The 23,657-nt window shown below is 38.7% G+C and overlaps 1 long non-coding RNA gene across 2 annotated transcripts in view, besides 1 other annotated feature; it reads right to left on the reverse strand.

Moving 5' to 3' along the window:
* Positions 1-23,657, reverse strand: part of LINC02296 (long intergenic non-protein coding RNA 2296) — a 268,818-nt gene that overhangs the window by 74,512 nt on the left and 170,649 nt on the right. For both annotated transcript variants that reach the window (XR_007064294.1, XR_007064293.1), the window contains 2 exons: positions 21,786-21,872; positions 21,033-21,104 (listed from right to left, as the gene is read on the reverse strand). This is a non-coding gene — a long non-coding RNA (long intergenic non-protein coding RNA 2296). The remainder of the gene's footprint in view (positions 1-21,032; positions 21,105-21,785; positions 21,873-23,657) is intronic.
* Positions 10,977-12,176: an enhancer, noted in NCBI's record as "CDK7 strongly-dependent group 2 enhancer chr14:87896478-87897677 (GRCh37/hg19 assembly coordinates)". NCBI's record gives its function as "activates an origin of replication core promoter dependent on BRD2, BRD4, P300/CBP, MED14 and CDK7 cofactors, with strong dependence on CDK7, by STARR-seq in HCT116 cells {active_cell/tissue: HCT116}" and the evidence as "EXISTENCE:reporter gene assay evidence [ECO:0000049][PMID:35650434]".

A 23,657-nucleotide genomic window follows, 5' to 3' on the forward strand; every position in this document is an offset into this window, starting at 1 on the left:
TCCTACAGAGGCAGGCAGGCAGGCCTCCTTGAGCTGTGGTGGGCTCCACCAAGTTAGAGCTTCCCAGCCACTTTGTTTACCTAATCAAACAACTAACTCAGCAATGGTGGGTGCCCCTCCCCCAGCCTCGCTGCCGCCTTGTAGTTTGATCTCAGACTGCTGTGCTAGCAATGAGCGAGACTCCGTGGGCAAAGGACCCTCCAAGCCAGGTGCGGGATATAATCTCCTGGTGTGCCGTTTTTTAAGCCCGTTGGAAAAGCACAGTATTAGTGTGGGAGTGACCCGATTTTCCAGGTGCCGTCTGTCACCGCTTTCTTTGACTAGGAAAGGGAATTCCCTGACCCCTTGAGCTTCCCGGGTGAGGTGATGTCTTGCCCTGCTTCGGCTCACGCACGGTACACTTCACCTACTGTCCTGCACCTACTGTCTGGCACTCCCCAGTGAGATGAACCCAGTACCTCAGTTTGAAATGCAGAAATCACCCGTCTTCTGCATTGCTCATGCTGGGAGCCGTAGACCGGAGCTGTTCCTATTCGGCCATTTTCTTAACTGAATTCTTACAACAACCTGAATGAGTTTAGATGGAGATTATTCCTCAGGGCCTACCATAAAATCCCAGCAAGTCAACTCATTGACTTTGGCTTTGTAAATCCAGAGCAGAGGATCAAGCTGACCTGCGCCGTGTCTAAGTATCTGACCCATTGAAAATGTTAGATAATGCATGGGTGTTAGATAATGAACAGGTATTGTATTAAGCTGCTCAATTGCCGCTAATCTATTATACAACTATAGGAAACTGATGCGAAATCCAAATTGTCTGCAGAGCCCTGCACCACCTGGCTCTTGCCTACCTCTCTACTTCATCTTCTGCCACAGGCTCCTTGTGATGGGATGTCACTTGTTTCTTCATTCTGGGAATTGCCTTCTGAATTCCCAGAATTACCCACACCTTATCTCCCCAAGGATGTTTACATTTAATATTCTCCTTTGCTATCTGGAATGTGCCACTCCCATACTTTCAGATGGCTCATTCCTTCTCATACTAAATACTCCTTCCCCCTCCCTCAGGAGAGCATCCCTCTCTGCCCTGCCTAATGTAGAGCATTTCTTCAACACTAGATTATAAGCTTCTGAGAGAAGGGCCTATACCTAGATCATAACAAGTGAGTAACAAAATAATTGGTATGTAATCAGTAATAAATAAATATTTCCTAAACAAGCAAATGAATAAAACAGTAAACTACACTCTCTGTGAAATTCATGACAGCTTTAGTCTCTTGAGAAAAAGGAATTACTAGCAGAGCATATGAGGCACATCTTAGTATGGCAATAATTTCACCCGCCTTTTCTCCTGTAATTATTTTTGTTTGCACAAAGGAACAAACCAATCTTGATATATATGCTTATAAGATTTTTAAGTTTATGAAGCATTTTTTGAAATAATTAAAGTTGATTATTCTTTAAGATTCTTACTAAGGTCTCATGGAAATAAGACTAATATATTAGCCCCAGTTAATATGAGGACATAAAACATGCACTATGTATGTGAGGACATAAAACACGCACTAAATTACAGCAGTGAATAGATTATAAAGATGCTTTGATTTCTTTTTTTAAATATATAATGATTGATTGTCCATATTTCTGGGCTATATGTGACATTTTGATAAATGTTCATGGGGGTAAAACAATGGTTACCAAAGACTGGGAAGGGTAGCAGTGAGGGGAAGGATAAACAGAAGTTGGTTAATGACTACAAAAGTAGTTATATATAGAAGGAATAAGTTCTAGTGTTCCACCCCATCCACAGTGGGGTGACTATAGATAACAATAATTTGTTGTATGTATCAAAATAACCATAAGAGTGGAACTGGAATGTTCCTAATAAAAAGAAATGATACATGTTTGAGGTGATGAATATGCCAATTACCAGGATGCTCTGATTTCTTTTCCTCTTTTTCTCCCAACCTCAAGAACTGCAAATGCCTTTGAGGGCCAGGAGAGTCCTGTAAGTGGTCTGAGTGTAAGGCAATAAGAATCATGAGAACTGCATTATTCTGGAAAGTGAATATCCTGTCTAAAGACATTCAGAGGCAACTTTCAAATAAAAGTGCTTTGTTGCAAGTCATGTGCTTCAGTATATTTCAGCTTCATGGAAATTTTCCAGTTCCATATTCAAGTTTCCATTCTGTTTCGTAGGTAGTAACTTAAATTTTTATGTTGATTAAAATAATGGAAATAGAGAAATAAAATTAGATAGTATAGATTTTAAGCACCTAGACTGCCAAAAGAACTTCACAATACCTTGCTCTTTTAATCATAATAAAACGTAAATCTTAAGGAAAAAGCATGTATTTTGTCAAGAGCAAAGAATGAGAGAGAGAGAGAGAGACTTAGTCTGAGACCCAAAGTCTAAGAATTGGGGACACCAGTGTCTGAGGGCATGAGGAGATGGGTGTCCCAGCTCAAGCAGAGAGAGCAAATGTACCTTAATCCACAGTTTTATTCTATTTGGGTCCTCAAGGGATTGCATGGTGCCTAGCCACATTGGTAAGTACAGATCTTATTTACTCAGTCTACTGATTCAAATGTTAATCTCTTCTGGAAACGTCCTTACAGACTCCCAGAAATAATGTTTTACCAGCTATCAGGGTGTCCCTTAGCCAAATCAAGTTCATATATGAAATTAACCATCAAAAGATCCTTCTCAGAGAATGTATTTTATGTAATGTCCTGCAATTCTCTTTGATATGTATCATTTCTAAAAGGCCAATTACTACACGAGATATTAATAAGAAACCATTAGAAGAATACATGTCATTGTTCTGACGTACATTTGCATACTTGGAAAAAGAAAAATTTTGTTAACATTTTTCCCCATAACACAGTTAGTTAACCTTATACAGGATACTAGTGTTCACAGAACACAAATAGAAATTTGGTGGATTGGACAAGAGTTTTGTCTCTCCAGAATCTGTGAGTATCATTAATCTTTTGTTGATAAAATAATTCTTCTTCTGTATAAATCATAGTTGGGACAGAGAGCATTGCAGCCCAAGGTCCATATCTTACTTTCTAGAATGACCCAGGAACACTTTCCCTTCCTGGGACCAGGCCTAGCCTGCACTCTCCTTGTGCACAATGGTCATCTGGGAAAAAATTTCTCCTATGTCACCCACATAATCTTTCCATATTCCTTCCATTAAACTCTCTCACATAATCAGGTAATGTAAAAATTTCTTATTGTCATTTATTTCTTATTAATAATTAAAATTAACATTTGTGGAGTTTAGAAAGCATTTTAACTGTGTGTGTAATTTAGAAAGCATTTTAAGAGAATGCTTTTACATTTCGTTGACAGCCTGTCAGAGTGGAGTGAAGAAGATACAGAAATATTCCCTGACTCTCTGATGTCTGTGTTCCCTGAACCCAACACAAAACCAAGTACATCACAGGGTTTTATTTATCACCTACTTGTAGAAGTCTTACATGTGCTTATCTCCCTTCTAGAACTTTCCTCTGAGATCTACCTCATAGTCCCAGATGCTTACTTGATATGGTTCCCAACACAGTTTTCATCCCCACCAGACCTGTTGCCCCGTATGTTTTCCTTAGTTGGGGAGTGGCATGAACAGAAGTCATTATTGGTGCCTTTCTCTCCTTCCACCTCATATCCAATCTATCTTTTGGTTCTGTTGATTTTGCCTCCTCAATATTTCTTAAATTAATTTACTTCTTTTCTTTCTAACTCCCACCACATGTTCTAAGATACGACCATCTTTTTTTCTGGACCACCAAAACTGCCTCCATATTGCTCTACCCACAGCAACATGTACTTCAAAGTACTGAAGTTACTTGTAGCCACATGACTTGTCATCATCCCAGTTCCTGTAGAAATAGTGGAACCTGGCAGGTACCATGGGTGGTACCTCCTGTGAGAGCTTTGTAGGACTGAAATACAAGCACACTGGGCTTATGTATTATCTTTTTGGAAGTGCAGGTATGTACTCCTCATCCCTCACTCCCCATAACATTCTGCCCCAAATCCATTTTTTTAGGATGCTGATGTCTATAATTAACCACTTGCAGCCCATTTCTTTTGCTTAAGATTTGTTTTTACAAGAATAAATAAATTCATTAAAAAGGAGCAATTTAGGGAGGAGCCAAGATGGCCGAATAGGAACAGCTCCGGTCTACAGCTCCCAGCGTGAGCAACGCAGAAGACGGGTGATTTCTGCATTTCCATCTGAGGTACTGGATTCATCTCACTAGGGAGTGCCAGAGAGTGGGCACAGGTCAGTGGGTGCATGCAGTGTGCGCGAGCTGAAGCAGGGCAAGGCATTGCCTCACTGGAGAAGCTCAAGGGGTCAGGGAGTTCCCTTTCCTAGTCAAAGAAAGTGGTGACAGACAGCACCTGGAAAATCCGGTCACTCCCACCAGAATACTGCCCTTTTCTGACAGGCTTAAAAAAGGGCCCACCAGGAGATTATATCCCGCACCTGGCTCGGAGGGTCTTACGCCCACGGAGTCCCACTGATTGCTAGCACAACAGTCTGAGATCAAACTGCAAGGCAGCAGCGAGGCTGGGGGAGGGGCGCCCACCATTGCCCAGGCTTGCTTAGATAAACAAAGCAGCCAGGAAGCTCGAACTGGGTGGAGCCCACCACAGCTCAAGGAGGCCTGCCTGCCTCTGTAGGCTCCACCTCTGGGGGCAGGGCACAGACAAACAAAAAGACAGCAGTAACCTCTGCAGACTTAAATGTCCCTGTCTGACAGCTTTGAAGAGAGCAGTGGTTCTCCCAGCACGCAGCTGGAGATCTGAGAACGGGCAGACTGCCTCCTCAAGTGGGTCCCTGACCCCCAAGCAGCCTAACTGGGAGGCACCCCCCAGCAGGGGCAGACTGACACCTCACACGGCTGGGTACTCCAACAGACCTGCAGCTGAGGGTCCTGTCCGTTAGAAGGAAAACTAACAAACAGAAAGGACATCCACACCAAAAACCCATCTGTACATCACCATCATCAAAGACCAAAAGTAGATAAAACCACAAAGATGGGGAAAAAACAGAGCAGAAAAACTGGAAACTCTAAAAAGCAGAGCGCCTCTCCTCCTCCAAAGGAACATAGTTTCTCACCAGCAATGGAACAAAGCTGGACAGAGAATGACGAGCTGAGAGAAGAAGGCTTCAGACGATCAAATTACTCCAAGCTATGGGAGGAAATTCAAAGGCAAAGAAGTTGAAAACTTTGAAAAAAATTTAGAAGAATGTATAACTAGAATAACCAATACAGAGAAGTGCTTAAAGGAGCTGAAAACCAAGGCTCGAGAACTACGCGAAGAATGCAGAAGCCTCAGGAGCCGATGCGATCAACTGGAAGAAAGGGTATCAGCAATGGAAGATGAAATGAATGAAATGAAGCGAGAAGGGAAGTTTAGAGAAAAAAGAATAAAAAGAAACGAACAAAGCCTCCAAGAAATATGGGACTATGTGAAAAGACCAAATCTACGTCTCATTGGTGTACCTGAAAGTGACGGGGAGAATGGAACCAAGTTGGAAAACACTCTGCAGGATATTATCCAGGAGAACTTCCCCAATCTAGCAAGGCAGGCCAACATTCGGATTCAGAAAATACAGAGAATGCCACAAAGATACTCCTCGAGAAGAGCAACTCCAAGACACATAATTGTCAGATTCACCAAAGTTGAAATGAAGGAAAAAATGTTAAGGGCAGCCAGAGAGAAAGGTCGGGTTACCCTCAAAGGGAAGCCCATCAGACTAACAGCAGATCTCTCTGCAAAAACTCTACAAGCCAGAAGAGAGAGGGGGCCAATATTCAACACTCTTAAAGAATTTTCAACCCAGAATTTCATATCCAGCCAAACTAAGCTTCATAAGTGAAGGAGAAATAAAATACTTCACAGACAAGGAAATGCTGAGAGATTATGTCACCACGAGGCCTGCCCTAAAAGAGCTCCTGAAGGAAGCGCTAAACATGGAAAGGAATAACCGGTAACAGCCGCTGGAAAATCATGCCAAAATGTAAAGATCATCGAGACTAGGAATAAACTGCATCAACTAACAAGCAAAATAACCAGCTAACATCATAATGACAGGATCAAATTCACACATAACAATATTAACTTTAAATGTAAATCTAAATGCTACAATTAAAAGACACAGACTGGCAAATCGGACAAAGAGTCAAGACCCATCAGTGTGCTGTATTCAGGAAACCCATCTCACGGGCAGAGACACACATAGGCTCAAAATAAAAGGATGGAGGAAGATCTACCAAGCAAATGGAAAACAAAAAAAGGCAGGGGTTGCAATCCTAGTCTCTGATAAAACAGACTTTAAACCAACAAAGATCAAAAGAGACAAAGAAGGCCATTACATAATGGTAAAGGGATCAATTCAACAAGAAGAGCTAACTATCCTAAATATATATGCACCCAATACAGAGGCACCCAGATTCATAAAGCAAGTCCTTAGAGACCTACAAAGAGACTTAGACTCCCACACAATAATAATGGGAAACTTTAACACCCCAATGTCAACATTAGACAGATCACTGAGACAGAAAGTCAGCAAGGATACCCAGGAATTGAGCTCAGCTCTGCACCAAGCAGACCTAATAGACATCTACAGAACTCTCCACCCCAAATTAACAGAATATACATTTTTTTCAGCACTACATCACACCTATTCCAAAATTGATCACATACTTGGAATTAAAGCTCTCCTCAGCAAATGTAAAAGAACAGAAATTATAACAAACTGTCTCTCAGACCACAGTGCAATCAAACTAGAACTCAGGATTAAGAATCTCACTCAAAACCACTTAACTACATGGAAACTGAACAACTCCTCCTGAATGACTACTGGGTAAATAACGAAATGAAGGCAGAAATAAAGATGTTCTTTGAAACCAATGAGAACAAAGACACAACATACCAGAATCTCTGGGATGCATTCAAAGCAGTTTGTAGAAGGGAATTTATAGCACTAAATGCCTACAAGAGAAAGCAGGAAAGATCCAAAATTGACACCCTAACATCACAATTAAAAGAACTAGAAAAGCAAGAGCAAACACATTCAAAAGCTACCAGAAGGCAAGAAATAACTAAAATCTGAGCAGAACTGAAGGAAATAGAGACACAAAAAACCCTTCAAAAAATTAATGAATCCAGGAGCTAGTTTTTTGAAAGCATCAACAAAATTGATAGACCACAAGACTAATAAAGAAAAAAAGAGAGAAGAATCAAATAGACACAATAAAAAATGATAAAGGGGATATCACCACTGATCCCACAGAAATACAAACTACCATCAGAGAATACTACAAACACCTCTATGCAAATAAACTAGGAAATCTAGAAGAAATGGATAAATTCCTCAACACATACACTCTCCCAAGACTAAACCAGGAAGAAGCTGAATCTCTGAATAGACCAATAACAGGAGCTGAAATTGTGGCAATAATCAATAGCTTACCAACCAAAAAGAGTCCAGGACCAGATGGATTCACAGCCGAATTCTACCAGAGGTACAAAGAGGAACTGGTACCATTCCTTCTGAAACTATTCCAATCAATAGAAAAAGAGGGAATCCTCCCTAACTCATTTTATGAGGCCAGCATCATCTTCTTACCAAAGCCAGGCAGAGACAAAACCAAAAAAGAGAATTTTAGACCAATATCCTTGATGAACATTGATGCAAAAATCCTCAATAAAATACTGGCAAACCGAATCCAGCAGCACATCAAAAAGCTTATCCACCATGATCAAGTGGGCTTCATCCCTGGGATGCAAGGCTGGTTCAATAAATGTAATCCAGCATATAAACAGAACCAAAGACAAAAACCATATGATTTTCTCAATAGATGCAGAAAAGGCCTTTGACAAAATTCAACAACCCTTCACGCTAAAAACTCTCAATAAACTAGGTATTGATGGGATGTATCTCAAAATAATAAGAGCTATCTATGACAAACCCACAGCCAATATCATACTGAATGGGAAAAAACTGGAAGCATTCCCTTTGAAAACTGGCACAAGACAGGGATGCCCTCTCTCACCACTCCTATTCAACATAGTGTTGGAAGTTCTGGCCAGGGCAATTAGGCAGGAGGAAATAAAGGGTATTCAATTAGGAAAAGAGGAAGTCAAATTGTCCCTGTTTGCAGATGACATGATTGTATATCTAGAAAACCCCATTGTCTCAGCCCAAAATCTCCTTAAGCTGATAAACAACTTCAGCAAAGTCTCAGGATACAAAATCAATGTACAAAAATCACAAGCATTCTTACACACCAACAACAGACAAACAGAGAGCCAAATCATGAGTGAACTCCCATTCACAATTGCTTCAAAGAGAATAAAATACCTAGGAATCCAACTTACAAGGGATGTGAAGGACCTCTTCAAGGAGAACTACAAACCACTGCTCAATGAAATAAAAGAGGATACAAACACATGGAAGAACATTCCATGCTCATGGGTAGGAAGAATCAATATCGTGGAAATGGCCATACTGCCCAAGGTAATTTATAGATTCAATGCCATCCCCATCAAGCTACCAATGACTTTCTTCACAGAATTGGAAAAAACTACTTTAAAGTTCATATGGAACGAAAAAAGAGCCCGCATCGCCAAATCAATCCTAAGCCAAAAGAACAAAGTTGGAGGCATCACGCTACCTGACTTCAAACTATACTACAAGGCTACAGTAACCAAAACAGCATGGTACTGGTACCAAAACAGAGATATAGATCAATGGAACAGAACAGAGCCCTCAGAAATAATGCTGCATATCTACAACTATCTGATCTTTGACAAACCTGAAAAAAACAAGCAATGGGGAAAGGATTCCCTATTTAATAAATGGTGCTGGGATAACTGGCTAGCCATATGTAGAAAGCTGAAACTGGATCCCTTCCTTACACCTTATAAAAAAAATCAATTCAAGATGGATTAAAGACTTAAACCTTAGACCTAAAACCATAAAAACCCTAGAAGAAAACCTAGGCATTACCATTCAGGACATAGGCATGGGCAAGGACTTCATGTCTAAAACACCAAAAGCAATGCCAACAGAAGCCAAAATTGACAAATGGGATCTAATTAAACTAAAGAGCTTCTGCACAGCAAAAAAAAAAAAAAAAAAAAAAAAAAAAACCACCATCAGAGTGAACAGGCAACCTACAGAATGGGAGAAAATTTTTGCAACCTACTCATCTGACAAAGGGCTAATATCCAGAATCTACAATGAACTCAAACAAATTTACAAGAAAAAAACAAACAACCCCATCAAAAAGTGGGCAAAGGACATAAACAGACACTTCTCAAAAGAAGACATTTATGCAGCCAAAAAACACATGAAAAAATGCTCACCATCACTGGCCATCAGAGATATGCAAATCAAAGCCACAATGAGATACCATCTTACACCAGTTAGAATGGCAACCATTAAAAAGTCAGGAAACAACAGGTGCTGGAGAGGATGTGGAGAAATAGGAACACTTTTACACTGTTGGTGGGACTGTAAACTAGTTCAACCATTGTGGAAGTCATTGTGGCGACTCCTCAGGGATGTAGAACTAGAAATACCATTTGACCCAGCCATCCCATTACTGGGTATATACCCAAAGGACTATAAATCATGCTGCTATAAAGACACATGCACACGTATGTTTATTGCGGCATTATTCACAATAGCAAAGACTTGGAACCAACCCAAATGTCCAACAATGATAGACTGTTTTAAGAAAATGTGGCACATATACACCATGGAATACTATGCAGCCATAAAAAATGATGAGTTCATGTCCTTTGTAGGGACATGGATGAAATTGGAAATCATCATTCTCAGTAAACTATCGCAAGAACAAAAAACCATACACTGCATATTCTCACTCATAGGTGGGAATTGAACAATGAGAACACATGGACACAGGAAGGGGAACATCACACTCTGGTGACTGTTGTGGGGGGAAGGGGGAGGGATAGCATTGGGAGATATACCTGTTGCTAGATGGTGAGTTAGTGGGTGCAGTGCACCAGCATGGCACATGTATACATATGTAACTAACCTGCACATTGTGCACATGTACCCTAAAACTTAAAGTATAATAATAATAAATAAATAAAAGCAATTTAGCTTTTGTTAATAACTGATTCTTCAGAATCTACTTATTAATAACTTGTCATATATTTTTAAATTACTTTGATTTCGATCTAGATCTCCCACCTGGCTATGTGACTGTGATCAAGTCCTGCAATCATGCTAAGCCTCGGTTTTCTCAACTGAAAAATAGAGGCAATATTAGAACCTGCATTTTAGCTTGTTGAAAACTTTATAACTTTGAGAAAATATATTTAAAGCACTGAACAGAGTGCCTGCTACATAGTATGTGCCCAATTAATTTCATATTGGAAAAAATACATTTTATTTTTTTCTTTTCTTTTTCTTTCTTTCTTTTTTTCAGACAGAGTCTCACTCTGTTGCCCAGGCTGGAGTACAGTGGCGCGATCTAGGCTCACTGCAAGCTCCGCCTCCCAGGTTCATGCCATTCTCCTGCCTCAGCCTCCCGAGTAGCTGAGACTACAGGCTCCCGCCGCCACGCCCGGCTAATTTTTTTGTATTTTTAGTAGACACGGGGTTTCACCATGTTAGTCAGGATGGTCTCGATCTGCTGACCTCCTGATCCGCCCGCCTCCACCTCCCAAAGTGCTGAGATTACGAACATGAGCCACCACATCCGGCCAGAAAAAATATATTTTCTATTTGACTCACTTTTGTTTGTCACCCTTGAACACAGTGCCTGACACAAAAAAGGCACTCAAAATAATACAAGGATAACTATATGACTAAATTATATTATTATAAAAATTTCCTGACACTAGCTTTGCATAGAAAAATGATAATAAAGAAAACAGTGAACTTGATTGCAGCTGGAGAGTGTGCAAAAGAATCAAGGAGCAGAACAAAAAGCGTGAGACCACACACACCTGGGTGAAAAATATCATCAGGAATGCAGTGTCCTGTGTTGACTCTGAGCAGGATCTGTTCCCGTCATTTTCTTCTGTGCTGGATTTTCTCTCATTGTTTGTTTTGACACAAACAGGAGCAATATTGCAAGATAAATATTGTGCCATATAGCCAGACGGCTGTCAAATTTTTTAAAAAGACGGCTCTAAAGAATCCAGAGCCACCAACTCGTCAGCTCTGCAGAACAGGCAGCTTGATCATCACACTCCTCTCGTCACTCTCTGCATGCCTTTCTAATTTTATCAAGTTGTTTAGCTTAAGGGGAGAGGATAGGAAGACCATATTGTGTGTTACAGTGTGATGATTAATACTGAGTGTCAACTCGATTGTATTGAAGGATGCAAAGTATTGATCCTGAGTGTGTCTGTGAGGGTACCGCCAAAGGAGATTAACATTTGATGCAGTGGACTGGGAAAGGCAGACCCACCCTCAGTCTGGGTGGGCACCATCTAATCAGCTGCCAGTGCGGCCAGAATAAAAGCAGGCAGAAGAACGTGGAAAGACTCGACTGGTTTAGTCTTCTGGCCTCCATCTTTTTCCTGTGCTGGATGCTTCCTGGCCTCAAACATCAGACTCCAAGTTCTTCAGCTTTGGGACTCAGACTGGCTTCCTTGCTCATCAGCTTGCAGACAGTCTATTTTGAGACCTCACCTTGTGATCCTGTGAGTCAATACTCCTTAATAAACTCCCTGTTATATACACATCTGTCCTATTAGTTCTGACCTTCTAGAGATCCCTGACTAATATATACAGGAAGTGACTAATATGCTGAGCACACAGTGATAGCCCTCTTGTAATCTGCTAGCCATGTTGTCTCAGGCAGGGGTTATGGGTCAATAGTAGGGATCTGGGTTTATATGTTGGGCAATAGAAACAATACAAGTGATTTTTTTCATTGCCATGGCTTGAAAGCATGACACATTGCAAAACTTTTATGCAGTGTGTTGGAATCAACAGGGTTAGGTGCTTCCTGCATTAAATGGGAAATAGGAAAAAAATAGGATAGAAGAAAGTACATCTAAAATACAGAGCTGCTTTAAAAAAGTTTTGAAATTCTAAAACAAAAACCTGTTCCTCAGAGTGTGGCACATGGGCCAACTGCATCCGTGGGACGGTTAACTTTTATGTATCATCTTAACTGAGCCACAGGGTGCCCACATATTTAGGTAAACATTACCCATGGGTAAGACTTAAGTTGCGATTCATCCTGAGTAAAATTCCTCTCTAGCTGCAAAACTGTGAAACCAGAGGAGATTTTTGCTTCCAAAATACAAGACTGGAACAGGCATAGGAGACAGATGCCCACTCCAAAAAAGAGAAATGAGCAAGGAAGGAGAGATGATGGGTGTCAGGTCCGGAACCCAGCAAACGTTTCCTCCAGCTCCCTTCTTTTCTTCCTGTGCCCTCACCAGAATCACCACTTCCATTCATATTTCTAGCACGTTCTTTAACACTCTTCAGGATGCTACCTGTTGCCCAGGTTCAGAGCTGTCTCCACATTTTTACATATTTAGCAGAATCCTGTTTCTCTGTATCAAAATTTGTATTAGTCTGCTCTGGCTGCTATAACAAAATGCTTTAGACTTTTTTTGTTATTGGGATAGAATAAATATATTTATATATAAGAACATGAATTTTGGGAGGCTGGGGTGGAGTGCTATGAAATGAATTGTGTCTTCCCCAAATTCATACATTGAAACCCTAACCCCCAATGTCACTAGATAAGTGAAGCCTGTAGGAGATAATTAGGTTTGAGTGAAGTCTTCAGGGCAGGGCCGTAATCCAATAGGTCTGGTGTCCTTACGTGAGCTAGAGATAGTTTTCTTTCCACTTGCACATAGAGAAAAAGCCATGTGAGGACACAGCAAAAAGGCAGTCATCTGCAGGCCACGAAGAAATCCCTCACAGGGAAATGGAATAGACGTGCAGTTTATCTTCAACTTCCCAGCCTCCAGAATTGTGAGAAATAAATGTCTGTTGTTTAAGCCACCCAGTTTTGAGTATTTTGTTATGGCAGCCTGAACAGACTGACAATCGAATCGCTTTTTTGTTAACATACAAATTGCTGGGTCCCATCCCAGAAATATGTATCTGTATCTATGGGAATTGAACCCAGAAATCTATATTCTAACAATATCCCCAGGGGATTCTTTTTATACTTGAAAATTTAAAAAAATTATTAACACAGAGTACCTCTGACTTTAAAAAATGGAATAAGAAGAGAAACACTACAAGACAGAGGTTACCACATTTCTTCAGTTTAGTGTCCCAGAAAATTTTTAATGACCACAAGAAACATCTAAGGGTTTCACTTATTAAGTAGATACAAACAACCTAATAAGAATTTAATATCTTAAGAGCTTAGTAGCAGTTTGATAAAGTAGTCACAAAAAATGTTTCCTTCTTATTCACAATTACTGCCTAATGGTATTTATGTACCTGGGGACATTATACAATCTTTCAACCTTGGAATCAGTTTGGATGCCATCACTCTTCCTGTTACATGTTAGTTTTCACATGGCATTTGCTTTTTAGTGGCTGCAATCACCAAAAACACAGCTTCAAAAGAAACGATGTCATTGAAAGAATTTAACGTATGCTAATGTGGAAACTATGGATTACCTTGAGCTAGTGTTTTACTTGACATAGTGGTACTTGACATAGTGTCCGACAAATGTCAAGTACCACTATTTTCCTCAAATATTTAAACTATGCCAGCAACAACCCTATGAGTTCACTGGCATACCAGCATGCCTTGATACACAGTTTGGGAACCCACACTACAGACATTAAGTTGAGTTTTAGTCAATGAGAAGCATCGTACGGCCTTTACAAGTATAGTAAACATATATGCTCAGACGGCAATTCTTTAACTCTATGAAACCAACAGTGAACATCAACTGTCACTGTTCCTCACCTTTTCTGTCACAATTTTATAGAAACAGCCTCAATCCACTGGGCAGTACCAGAGGTCCCTGTAGATGACCCTGCAACTAGAATCATAGCTGATTGACATGGACTCAAAATATGGCAATTGGATTTTTTCTCTTCTGAATTTACAAATGAAAATAGTCACAGACTGAAGGTTAATGGAACTGGGGCAGTCATTTTTCTCATAGTCATAATATACAGGTGAAGGTGAAGGAACTGAAAGGATGAAAATAAGAGTGGAACCTCTCCTGGTTATACCTAACAAACTGCTTTCTAAAGGGTTTTTTTTTTTTTTTTTTTGGAGACAGAGTCTTGCTCTGTCACCCAGGCTGGAGTGCAGTCGCGCGATCTCAGCTCATTGCAAGCTCCGCCTCCCGGGTTCACGCCATTCTCCTGCCTCAGCCTCCTGAGTAGCTGGGACTACAGGTACCCGCCACCACGCCCAGCTAATTTTTTGCATTTTTAGTACTGACGGGGTTTCACCATGTTAGCCAGGATGGTCTCGATCTCCTGACCTCATGATCTACCCGCCTTGGCCTCCCAAAGGGCTGGGATTACAGGCGTGAGCCACCTTGCCCGGCCTCTAAAGTTTTATTTTCCATTGTCATACTGTGATCTCATTTAGAAGTTGCTAGTACATACCAGAAGAATGCTTTTACCTGTGTGGCATGATAAAGATTCCACTAACTTGGAAACTGGTTATTCTGACCACTATGAAATGTTGACTCTCAACTCCCCACAAAAGACTACCAAAGAAACCTGTGACTCAAGGAAACCAAAGTTTTAAACTCACAGCAGCAAAGGATAAAGTCACCTTGACAGATTCTCTATAGAGACAGAAAGAAGAATTTAGGGAAGAATATATATATGATTTTTGTTTTGGGCCAAAGTGGTTTAAGGCAGATCTTTCAAAGAGGGAAACTGGTTGAAATTGGGCAAAATTCATGACCTAATAGTTTAAAATTCATAAGCACAATGAGGTGAGGAATTGGAGACAATTCTTGATAAGGAAACTGTTGTCTGATAAGGAAGCTGTTTGACCAGATGAGTAAGCTATTTGCTCAGGTAATTTGGTTTGCAAGAATTTCCTGAAGCAGTGGGGTTATTTGTTAGCATACAGCTTTATTTTTATTTGTTAGTATACAGCTTTATCTTTCTTGGCAAGAATTTCCTGGTAAAACAGTTAAGACATGTTGACACAAGTGTCCTCAATCCTCAAAACTAGGCTTAAGAAAACAGTATTTCATAAAAATTGACTGAGGCGATAGATCTTGTGTTATGGACTGAGTTGTGTCTCCCTGTCAAATTCATATGTTGAAGCCCTAACCCCCAGTTCAACTGTGTTTGGAGATAGGGCCTTTAGGAAAATAATTAAGGTTGACTGAGGTCCGAAAGATGGGATCCTAATCTGTTAAGACTGGTGTCCTTATAAAAGAGAAAAGACACCAGAGAACTCTGTCTTTCTGCCTGGGCACAGACAAAAAGCCATTTGAGAACACAGGGAGAAGGTGGCTGTCTGAAAGCCAGGAATAGAGAAGCCAAAAGCCAACAGTGGGAGCACTGATCTTACAGCCACCAGAAAAAAATATTTTTGTTGTTTAAACCACCCATGCCTTGGTATTCTGTTATGGCAGCCTATGCAGATTAATGTACCCTGAGGATCAAAGGCAGATAGTGTTACTGCTATGAAATAGAGGAGGAGGAGTATGAATAGAACTCAGCATGAACTCTTGTTATAATAATCACTTAGACAAAACCTAACAAAGATTGCCATTATCCTGACAGACAGATCTACCAGGAACCACTTAAAAAGAAACGTAAGGGCTTTCTTACTAAGCAAGATTCACAATCAGTGCATTACCCATCAAAATAAGAGAAGAAAAAATAGGTGGAAGATAAAGGACATCATTAATTGGCTGCAAGAATAAGAATGATAGCCTATGTTCTATCCTTGCTTGTTATATTACTTGGTCAGGTAAGTCTTCTCCAAAACTCATCTTGTTTTAATGTGATCTCATTATGTAATGTTATTTAACCACAGATTGTACTTCCATTGCATCAAGGGTTGAGATGTGCAGTATAAATCCTTGAGAAATGCTTAGAAGTTTTCAGATGAAGAAAACTTTATGCATAGACAGCCAAACATTTCTGAGTATTCTTGGGTTTCCGAGAATGTCGTGACATCTTATATGGAACCTGCTGTGATTTCGCATCTCACTCTAAAAATCCTCACCAAATGACCGGAGACTCCAAATGGCTCCCTTTTTCAGGCTCTTCTGAATACTGCACCCAGAATAGTCAACTCATAACAACAAGAATAAAAATAAATTGACTACTCCCCTGGGCATGTATTTGTAGCAGATTCCAGTAATACAATGACAAGAACATTCTTTAAACTCTAATGTCCTGCCTTTTTGTGCTTTTATAGGTTCTGCTATTGATTTGTTTATATTCTATTTGCTTGTTAATGGTCTAGAAATATACTGTACAGTATCTAAAACACCATCATCATACTTGACTCCTCTCCTTTTTCTCTTTTATTTGTAGCAATATCTGGAATTTCTCATGAAGAATAAGATAGGAATACAAGTAGTTTTATCTTCAGTAGTGATGAAGATAGATATTTACTAGAATATATAAATGGACAAACAGGGAAACTAGAATGTTGAAATAAACTAAGATTTAATCCCTTGCCTCAGACAGGCTATAAAAATGATATTAGGGATTTGCTACAGAAACAAAAGAAAACTGCTGTTTTTAATTCTTTCTTGGCTTAATCATCCAAAAGTTTAATAAGCTGTGTACCTAAATGGGAGATGGATTTTACAATTTTGGAATAACAGTATGTTTATAAATCTCTTTTGTACCTCTTCTGCACTGAAACTAGAGAGCCGTCATTTTAATTGAGCTTCAGATGGACAAAATTCTTACTTTCCTTACAAATCAATGTTTTTAAATAACCAGGTGGAACAGTCACTATGGTTCATAGATGCATTTTCAGTTACTCAAGGATTTATAATATTAAGGAGTGGAAGCATGTTTTTTTTTTTTTTTTAATTCTTCACTGGTCCAACCATGATGCCTTCACCAAAGTTGGGGACTGTAACCGAATGCTCAGAAATGTGTTCCCCTCTTTAATCAATGCTAAGATGCACGTATTTTCATATTTTAACATTGCTTAAACTGAATTATCTACATGTAATTATCATAAGTTTTTCCTCCCCAAATATGTTAATGCATCAATTGTTTCTTCTGACTGATAATATCTTAAATTGGGGAAGGAAGGATAAGTATAAAAATTCTTTCGGCTATCACTCTACAATCTCAGGACCGAATTGAGATATCTGTCCTTTACAGTCCAATAAAAGTTATATTTATTGAGGCTTTTCCACCTGCCAGGCACTGTGCCAGATTTGTTCTTGATTGAGAATTTTATTTTATTCAATTAAATTCGAAGGCTTAGGGTTTTTTGTTGCTTGTTTCTTTTGTTTTTATGCAAAGTGAAAAATCACTTCTCAGGGACTAGTTTCTTCTCTAAAAAAGAACATTCTTTAGAATAGAGCAGAGCAAACCCATTCAGTGATAGATTTCCTTGACGCTTGATTCGTGACTGTCCAACCTGAAAGCACTCACTCGGAAGCCACAGTAGCATGGGCAGGGAAAATTACAGGACACAGAGCCAGTCACTACTGAAGCATGACAAATGAAGGCAGAAGGTCTCTGCCTGGTAAGGGCAAGTGGACTGCTCACCCATCTCCCTGAGCCCTGGGCTTCACAGCATCTTGTACTGCCTCGAATAGCGGGCAACCAGCAGCCCTGAAACCTACATATGATAATCTGAAATATCTGCATTTATGATTAAATGTTTGAGTATTTACCTCCCTTTGTTCCTTTCTCCCCTCCACCCCTGCCTTGTGGTTGTCTACATTCCCTTAGCCTTGCTGCACGTGCCTTCAAATGTTATGAGAAAAATGGACTAGAAAGTAGAAATATAGATATCTCAAAGTCATTTGTCTGTATGCCCTGATTTCCTAGCAAAGATGTGAAACTGCCATGATATTGCACTTTGAAATTATTGCTCCAGAATCAGGGTACTGAAGTTTGCACCCCAGCTCTACTGCTCATGAACTGTGACCTTAGGCAATTTACTCAACCTCCTTATATCTCAGGTTTTAATATTTAGGAAATTGCACAACAATTCCTTTTTGATACAGTCGTTGTGAGGATTAGGTAAGATGATGCAATGCAAACTGTTTAACACGATGCCTGACATATAGCACAGGATCAATAAATGTGATGGCTATTCTTAATGTTGAGTTTTAATTAATCTAAGGAATCTCTTTCTACTAAATCTCCATGTCAGTAAGTTACTAGCCAAAAGTAGCTTAAACTAAGGACAGCTCAACCAATAGAAGAATGATTTTCTTTAGCTGATTGCAGGATTAAATTGTCACAAAAATATCTCGATAGATAAATAAATAATGACAGCACCGGAATTAAAATTTCAATTGGTAATTAAATACAATTCCTCAAAAATTATATTCAAAAGTATTAGTCTACTGCATTATAATTAGACATTTTATACGTAGTTCACCTGCCTTTGAATTTTGACATTGCCTGAAATTCCCCTGCTTCTACATCTATTCCTCTCTCCATTATTTCCCCTAACCATTAATTCCTACATAAATTAACTTATTTATGCATTCGCTTATCCATTCAAATATTGTCATAGTATGTGGCTTTTTCTTCCCATACAAATTTTAAATTTACTTTGATTTTTAAAAATTCTATATAATTTTTCCTTGCCGATTGTAGTCTAATACTTAGTTTTTATCATTATCACATTTTTAGGCAAGGTTTGCATCGCAATTTTGTTTGCATACAAAGAAATCATAATGTCTTATACATTTATGTGTCTTAAATGCAATACTAGTCTAATTGATGTTCCTTAACTTGGATGTGATTAAAGACAATGATTTTTTTGGATTCTTTCTCCTGCCAATTCTCATTATTCATTAAGTGCTTCTTATTTCCTCTCTGCATGAAGGATACTCCTGAAGAATTATAAATGTCAGGTAACTTGAATTATCAGAAAGTCCTATTCAGATGTGGATGGCCTATGTTTAGATTTGTAATATGATCTTCTAGAGAATATCTCACAAACATGTTAGAAAGTAATATATTTTGGCTTAGTATTAGAAAGAATGTCATAAAGTGCTGAATTGCACTAGAATGAATTTTTTAAGACGACGAAGTCCCTCCTAATGAACAGACCAAGAAGAGCCTGTGATATTATTCATCAGAAGTGCTGCAGGTGAATTTGACAGAATAATTAGGCAACAGCTCTAGCTAAGGCACCTTCTTACTCAGACAGTTTGTTGTTGTTTAAGTTAGTGATTTCCACATATAGAAACCTGGTAGGTGGAGAATCTGGTAAGAACAAGATCTGGATCTCAGACATGTATTAATTTGTGGTCAGAGAGGAGAAGAAAAAAATATTTTAGGTTGGAGGCAGGGACTTGTCATTTGTTCAAGTTGGGATGCAAGTGGCAGATAAGGGTGATGGCAGTCCCAGGCCATGGTCAGAATGGCTCAAGATAGAGGAAGCTAATACTATGCTTCCTCTCTACTGCACTTCACTGCAGGAAGCAATCAAAAGGCATGCCAAGCTAAGAACTTTACAGAGAGCTGCTTTAGGGTGTATTACATCTCTGAAGCATAAACCATAGTGAAACAACAGAAGTGAAACATTTTAACATGGAAATGAATGAATCTTTTTTTAAAAAAAATATTTTGAGTTTCCTCATGTTCACCAAATAATCAGCTTCATTTTTCTTTTCCTGAATAAAATGTATTCTAAGGTTGTCTTACATCCTATCATCACCCTTTCAGGTAAAATTTGATCATTCATTCATTTGGACAACATTCATAGGCCCCCAACAATGTGCCAAGCACATCTCTAGATGCTGGGGATAAAAAGATAAATTAGATTTGGTCTCTGATTTCCGGAACCAACCTCTAAGACTTACTTATGAAAAAGTTAGTCATGTAAAATAAAAGATGAATAGCAATACAGTATGATGAGTGTTATAACTGAACTATAGAGAAAAATGGAACTTCTAAGGAATCAATTATTCACCAAATTGCTATTTCCCAAGAAAAATGTTACACTAAATAGATAATTAAACTGCCTGACTTACTGAAGTTCTAGGGGCCGGAGAATATAAAATAATCTTACATTGTTGGAAAGAACCTAAATTGTTTGCTGTTAAAATGCTTTTATGTATTTTTGAAATAGAATCACCTTATCGTTAGGGTAATTACTTCTTTTAAGATAACAAAATCATACCCTATTGAAGCTAAATTGAGTTTGTTTTCTAAGCAGTGTAGAGATTCCTTAAATAACTAAAGTAGAGCTACCATTCTATCCAGCAATCCCACTACTGGGTATCTACCCCAAGGAAAATAAGTCATTATATGAAAAAGACACACGCACACATGTTTATATCAGCACAATTCGCAAAAGCAAAGATATGGAACCAACCTAAATGTCTGTTAACCAATGAGTGGTTAAAGAAAATGTGGTATATATATACCATAGAATACTACTCAGCCATAAAATAAAAAGGAATGAAATAATGGCATTCTCAACAACCTGGATAAATTGGAGACCATTATTTTTGAGTGAAGTAACTCAGGAGTGGAAAACCAAACATCATATGCTGTCACTTGTAAGTGGGAGCTAAGCTATGAGGACACAAAGGCGTAAGAATGATACAATGGACTTCAGGGACTCATGGGGAAAAGGTCGGGGGGGCAGTGAGGGATGAAAGACTACACATTGGATATGGGGTACACTGCTTGGGTGATGGGTTCACCAAAATCTCAGAAATCACCACTAAAGAAATTATCCCCATGTAACCAAAAGCCACCTTTTCCCCAAAAACTATTGAAATATATTTTTGAGTTTGTTTTCTGTAATAATTCATAATTATTATTTATCCAGCCATATGAAATGATACTAATGATTTTTAAGCATTCTCTACTTACTATAAATAATATAAAAGTATTTTCCAGTGGAAGTGACTCCTCCAAATTCCAGGGTTCGTGTTTTCCAAATTCCTAAAAAGAAGGATAGTGAGGAACATAAATGTAGTTTAAATGTAAAGGTCAAAATCAGTTAAAGATATTTTTAAAAACCCAAATATTCAGTAATTTTAAAGGAGAAGCAAACATTTATTAACACTAGTAAAGCAAATTAGGAATATATGTCTCAAATACCCAACCTTGGAGTACACAATGTTAGATTTCACTAACAAAATATTGCTTGGATTTTTAATGAAAGTAAATCTGAAATTTTAAAAATTCAGACAATCTCTGGCAGTTGTCATCTGATCAGAGTTCTAATACTAAAGGTTTGAAGATCCACTTGTGATGGATTTGAGGACAAAACATTCTGACTGATGTGGATGCTTCTGTAACTTCTTTGAATCCTTGCAACTTGAGGTCAATACCAGGATGCTTTTTGCAAATGCAAACGAAAGAAAATGGTTTTTTAATGATATACCCCAAAATCTTATCTGGTTGAATTTTTGTTTAAGATTAAGTAATGGGTGCTTTATTTAGATTAATTAGCAAGAAGATCACAGTAATCAATAGATAACTGAAAGACACCATCTGTTCCCTTTTCCAATTGTATCTATGAGCTTTGCATGGGTGTACCAGGGAACATGGGAGAATTAATTAGGCAGCAAATGAAATCTTCTAACAGATGGCACCCATTTACTTCTTGCAAATACATACCAGCAAATTTGTGTGCTTTCCCTTTCATCTTGTTTACCTCCTAGAAAGTTTTGAAGAACCACTGGAGTCTGACCATCAGTTGCCCATCTGAAAAAAAAAGTTCAAAAATGTAGAAAAATTGTGTGGGACTTAGCTTCACGGGAAAATGACTGGTAGGAAATAACATCATGAGAACTTTATAAAGACTTGAAATCTCACTTTGATAAGAGTTTAAATCAAGTTGGTTTTAATCCCAAGATCACTGTTGCTTTCCTTTTCTATTGTGTGTGGCTTTTAGTATACACTAAGAATTTTTGTTTTAATATCTTTGCATATTAATACAGAGCTCTCATTTGTTTTATAAAAGCTGTCCTCCAAAGTTTGTGTATTGATATAGTTTACATAATACATTTCTAAATGTGGCTCTAGATATTTCTGAATCACTAAAGAAATAATATAGCAAGACCTCTAGGCCCAGTTTTATTTTATGAACTGCATCTTCAGAGGAGCAAGCTTCTGGTTTGAAGAAAAATATATTGTTCCAACAATTATCCCCACCAAAGAGCATTGCCACTTCACCATTTTTCTTTTATTTTCTTATCAGTGCGCTGAAAATAGTACTGTAAACATTCCTGCTCAATTTCATAACATGCAAATCATCCCTAAACTACTAAAATCAGGCCATACCACCCTTTTGAAATTGCTTTTTCAGAAGTCATGATTGACATCTTAATTTTCAAATGCCATAGTTTCTTCTCTGTAGCATTTTGACAAGATTCACCACTCTTTCTCTAACTTTAAGATAATATTATCTTCTAGTGTGTCTCTTAACAAACCAAATGACATTTCTACATTTCTATTGGTCCTACTTTGTTCAACAGTTCCTTTATTTTTCCTATCATAAAACTTTGAAGAAAAACAGTTGCTTAAATGCATATACTTCTAAGAAGTTTTATCACCTTCCCTGTGAGAGGTAGAATTTTAAATATGTCCCCCAAAGATTCCAGTCTACTGGTTATTCAATCAAACCCTGTGATTTAGGTCATTAATCAGAGAGCATCCCTTGGTTGACAGATAACAAGGAAAGGAAGAACTGTCTGCCAGGCACAGTGGCTCACGCCTGTAATCCCAGCACTTTGGGAGGCCAAGGCAGGTGGATCACTTGAGGTCAGGAGTTTGAGACCAGCCTGGCCAACATGGGGAAACCCTGTCTCTACTAAAAATACAAAAATTAGCCGGGCCTGGTGGTGGGTGCCTGTAATGCCAGCTACTCAGGGAGGCTGAGGCAGGAGAATTGCTTGAACCTGTAAGGCAGAGGTTGCAGTAAGCCAAGATCGCACCATTGCACTCCAGCCTGGGTGACAGAGTGAGACTCCATCTAAAACAAACAAACTGCAAAGAAATGGATTCTGCCAACAATTTGAGTTGCAAAATGGATTCTTCCCAGAGTCTCTCTCTCTCAATAAGAGCCCAGAGAACAAATGCCTTGATTTTCTTCTTGTACAAGCCAGAACAAATCAAGATAGTTCAGATTTGTGACCTCTAGAGTTGTAAGTTAAGAAATGTAATGTAATGTAAAGTAACTGGAGAAAAAACTTTTGAGGAGGTTAAGGACGGTCTTTCTGGAGAAATGACATTGGGACAATGATTTCAAAAATAAGACTAAACCAACCATTCAAAAATAGAAAAATATATGTATTTCAGGCAGAGGAAGCTGAACATCCAAAAACATTGTAGCAATAAGAGATAGATATGCTTAAGGAAGAAAAGAAACCTGTGTATTTGTAGAGTAGAAAGCAAGAATTCTAAGGCATGGAACAAGATAATGGAGAGGTGAGCAAGAACTAGAGTGTGCAGAGTTTGTAGGTCACAGTAATGAGCAAAATAGATTTC

This window comes from Homo sapiens, chromosome 14 (assembly GCF_000001405.40).
Source record: "Homo sapiens chromosome 14, GRCh38.p14 Primary Assembly".
In the NCBI taxonomy this organism is placed as follows: domain Eukaryota; kingdom Metazoa; phylum Chordata; class Mammalia; order Primates; family Hominidae; genus Homo; species Homo sapiens.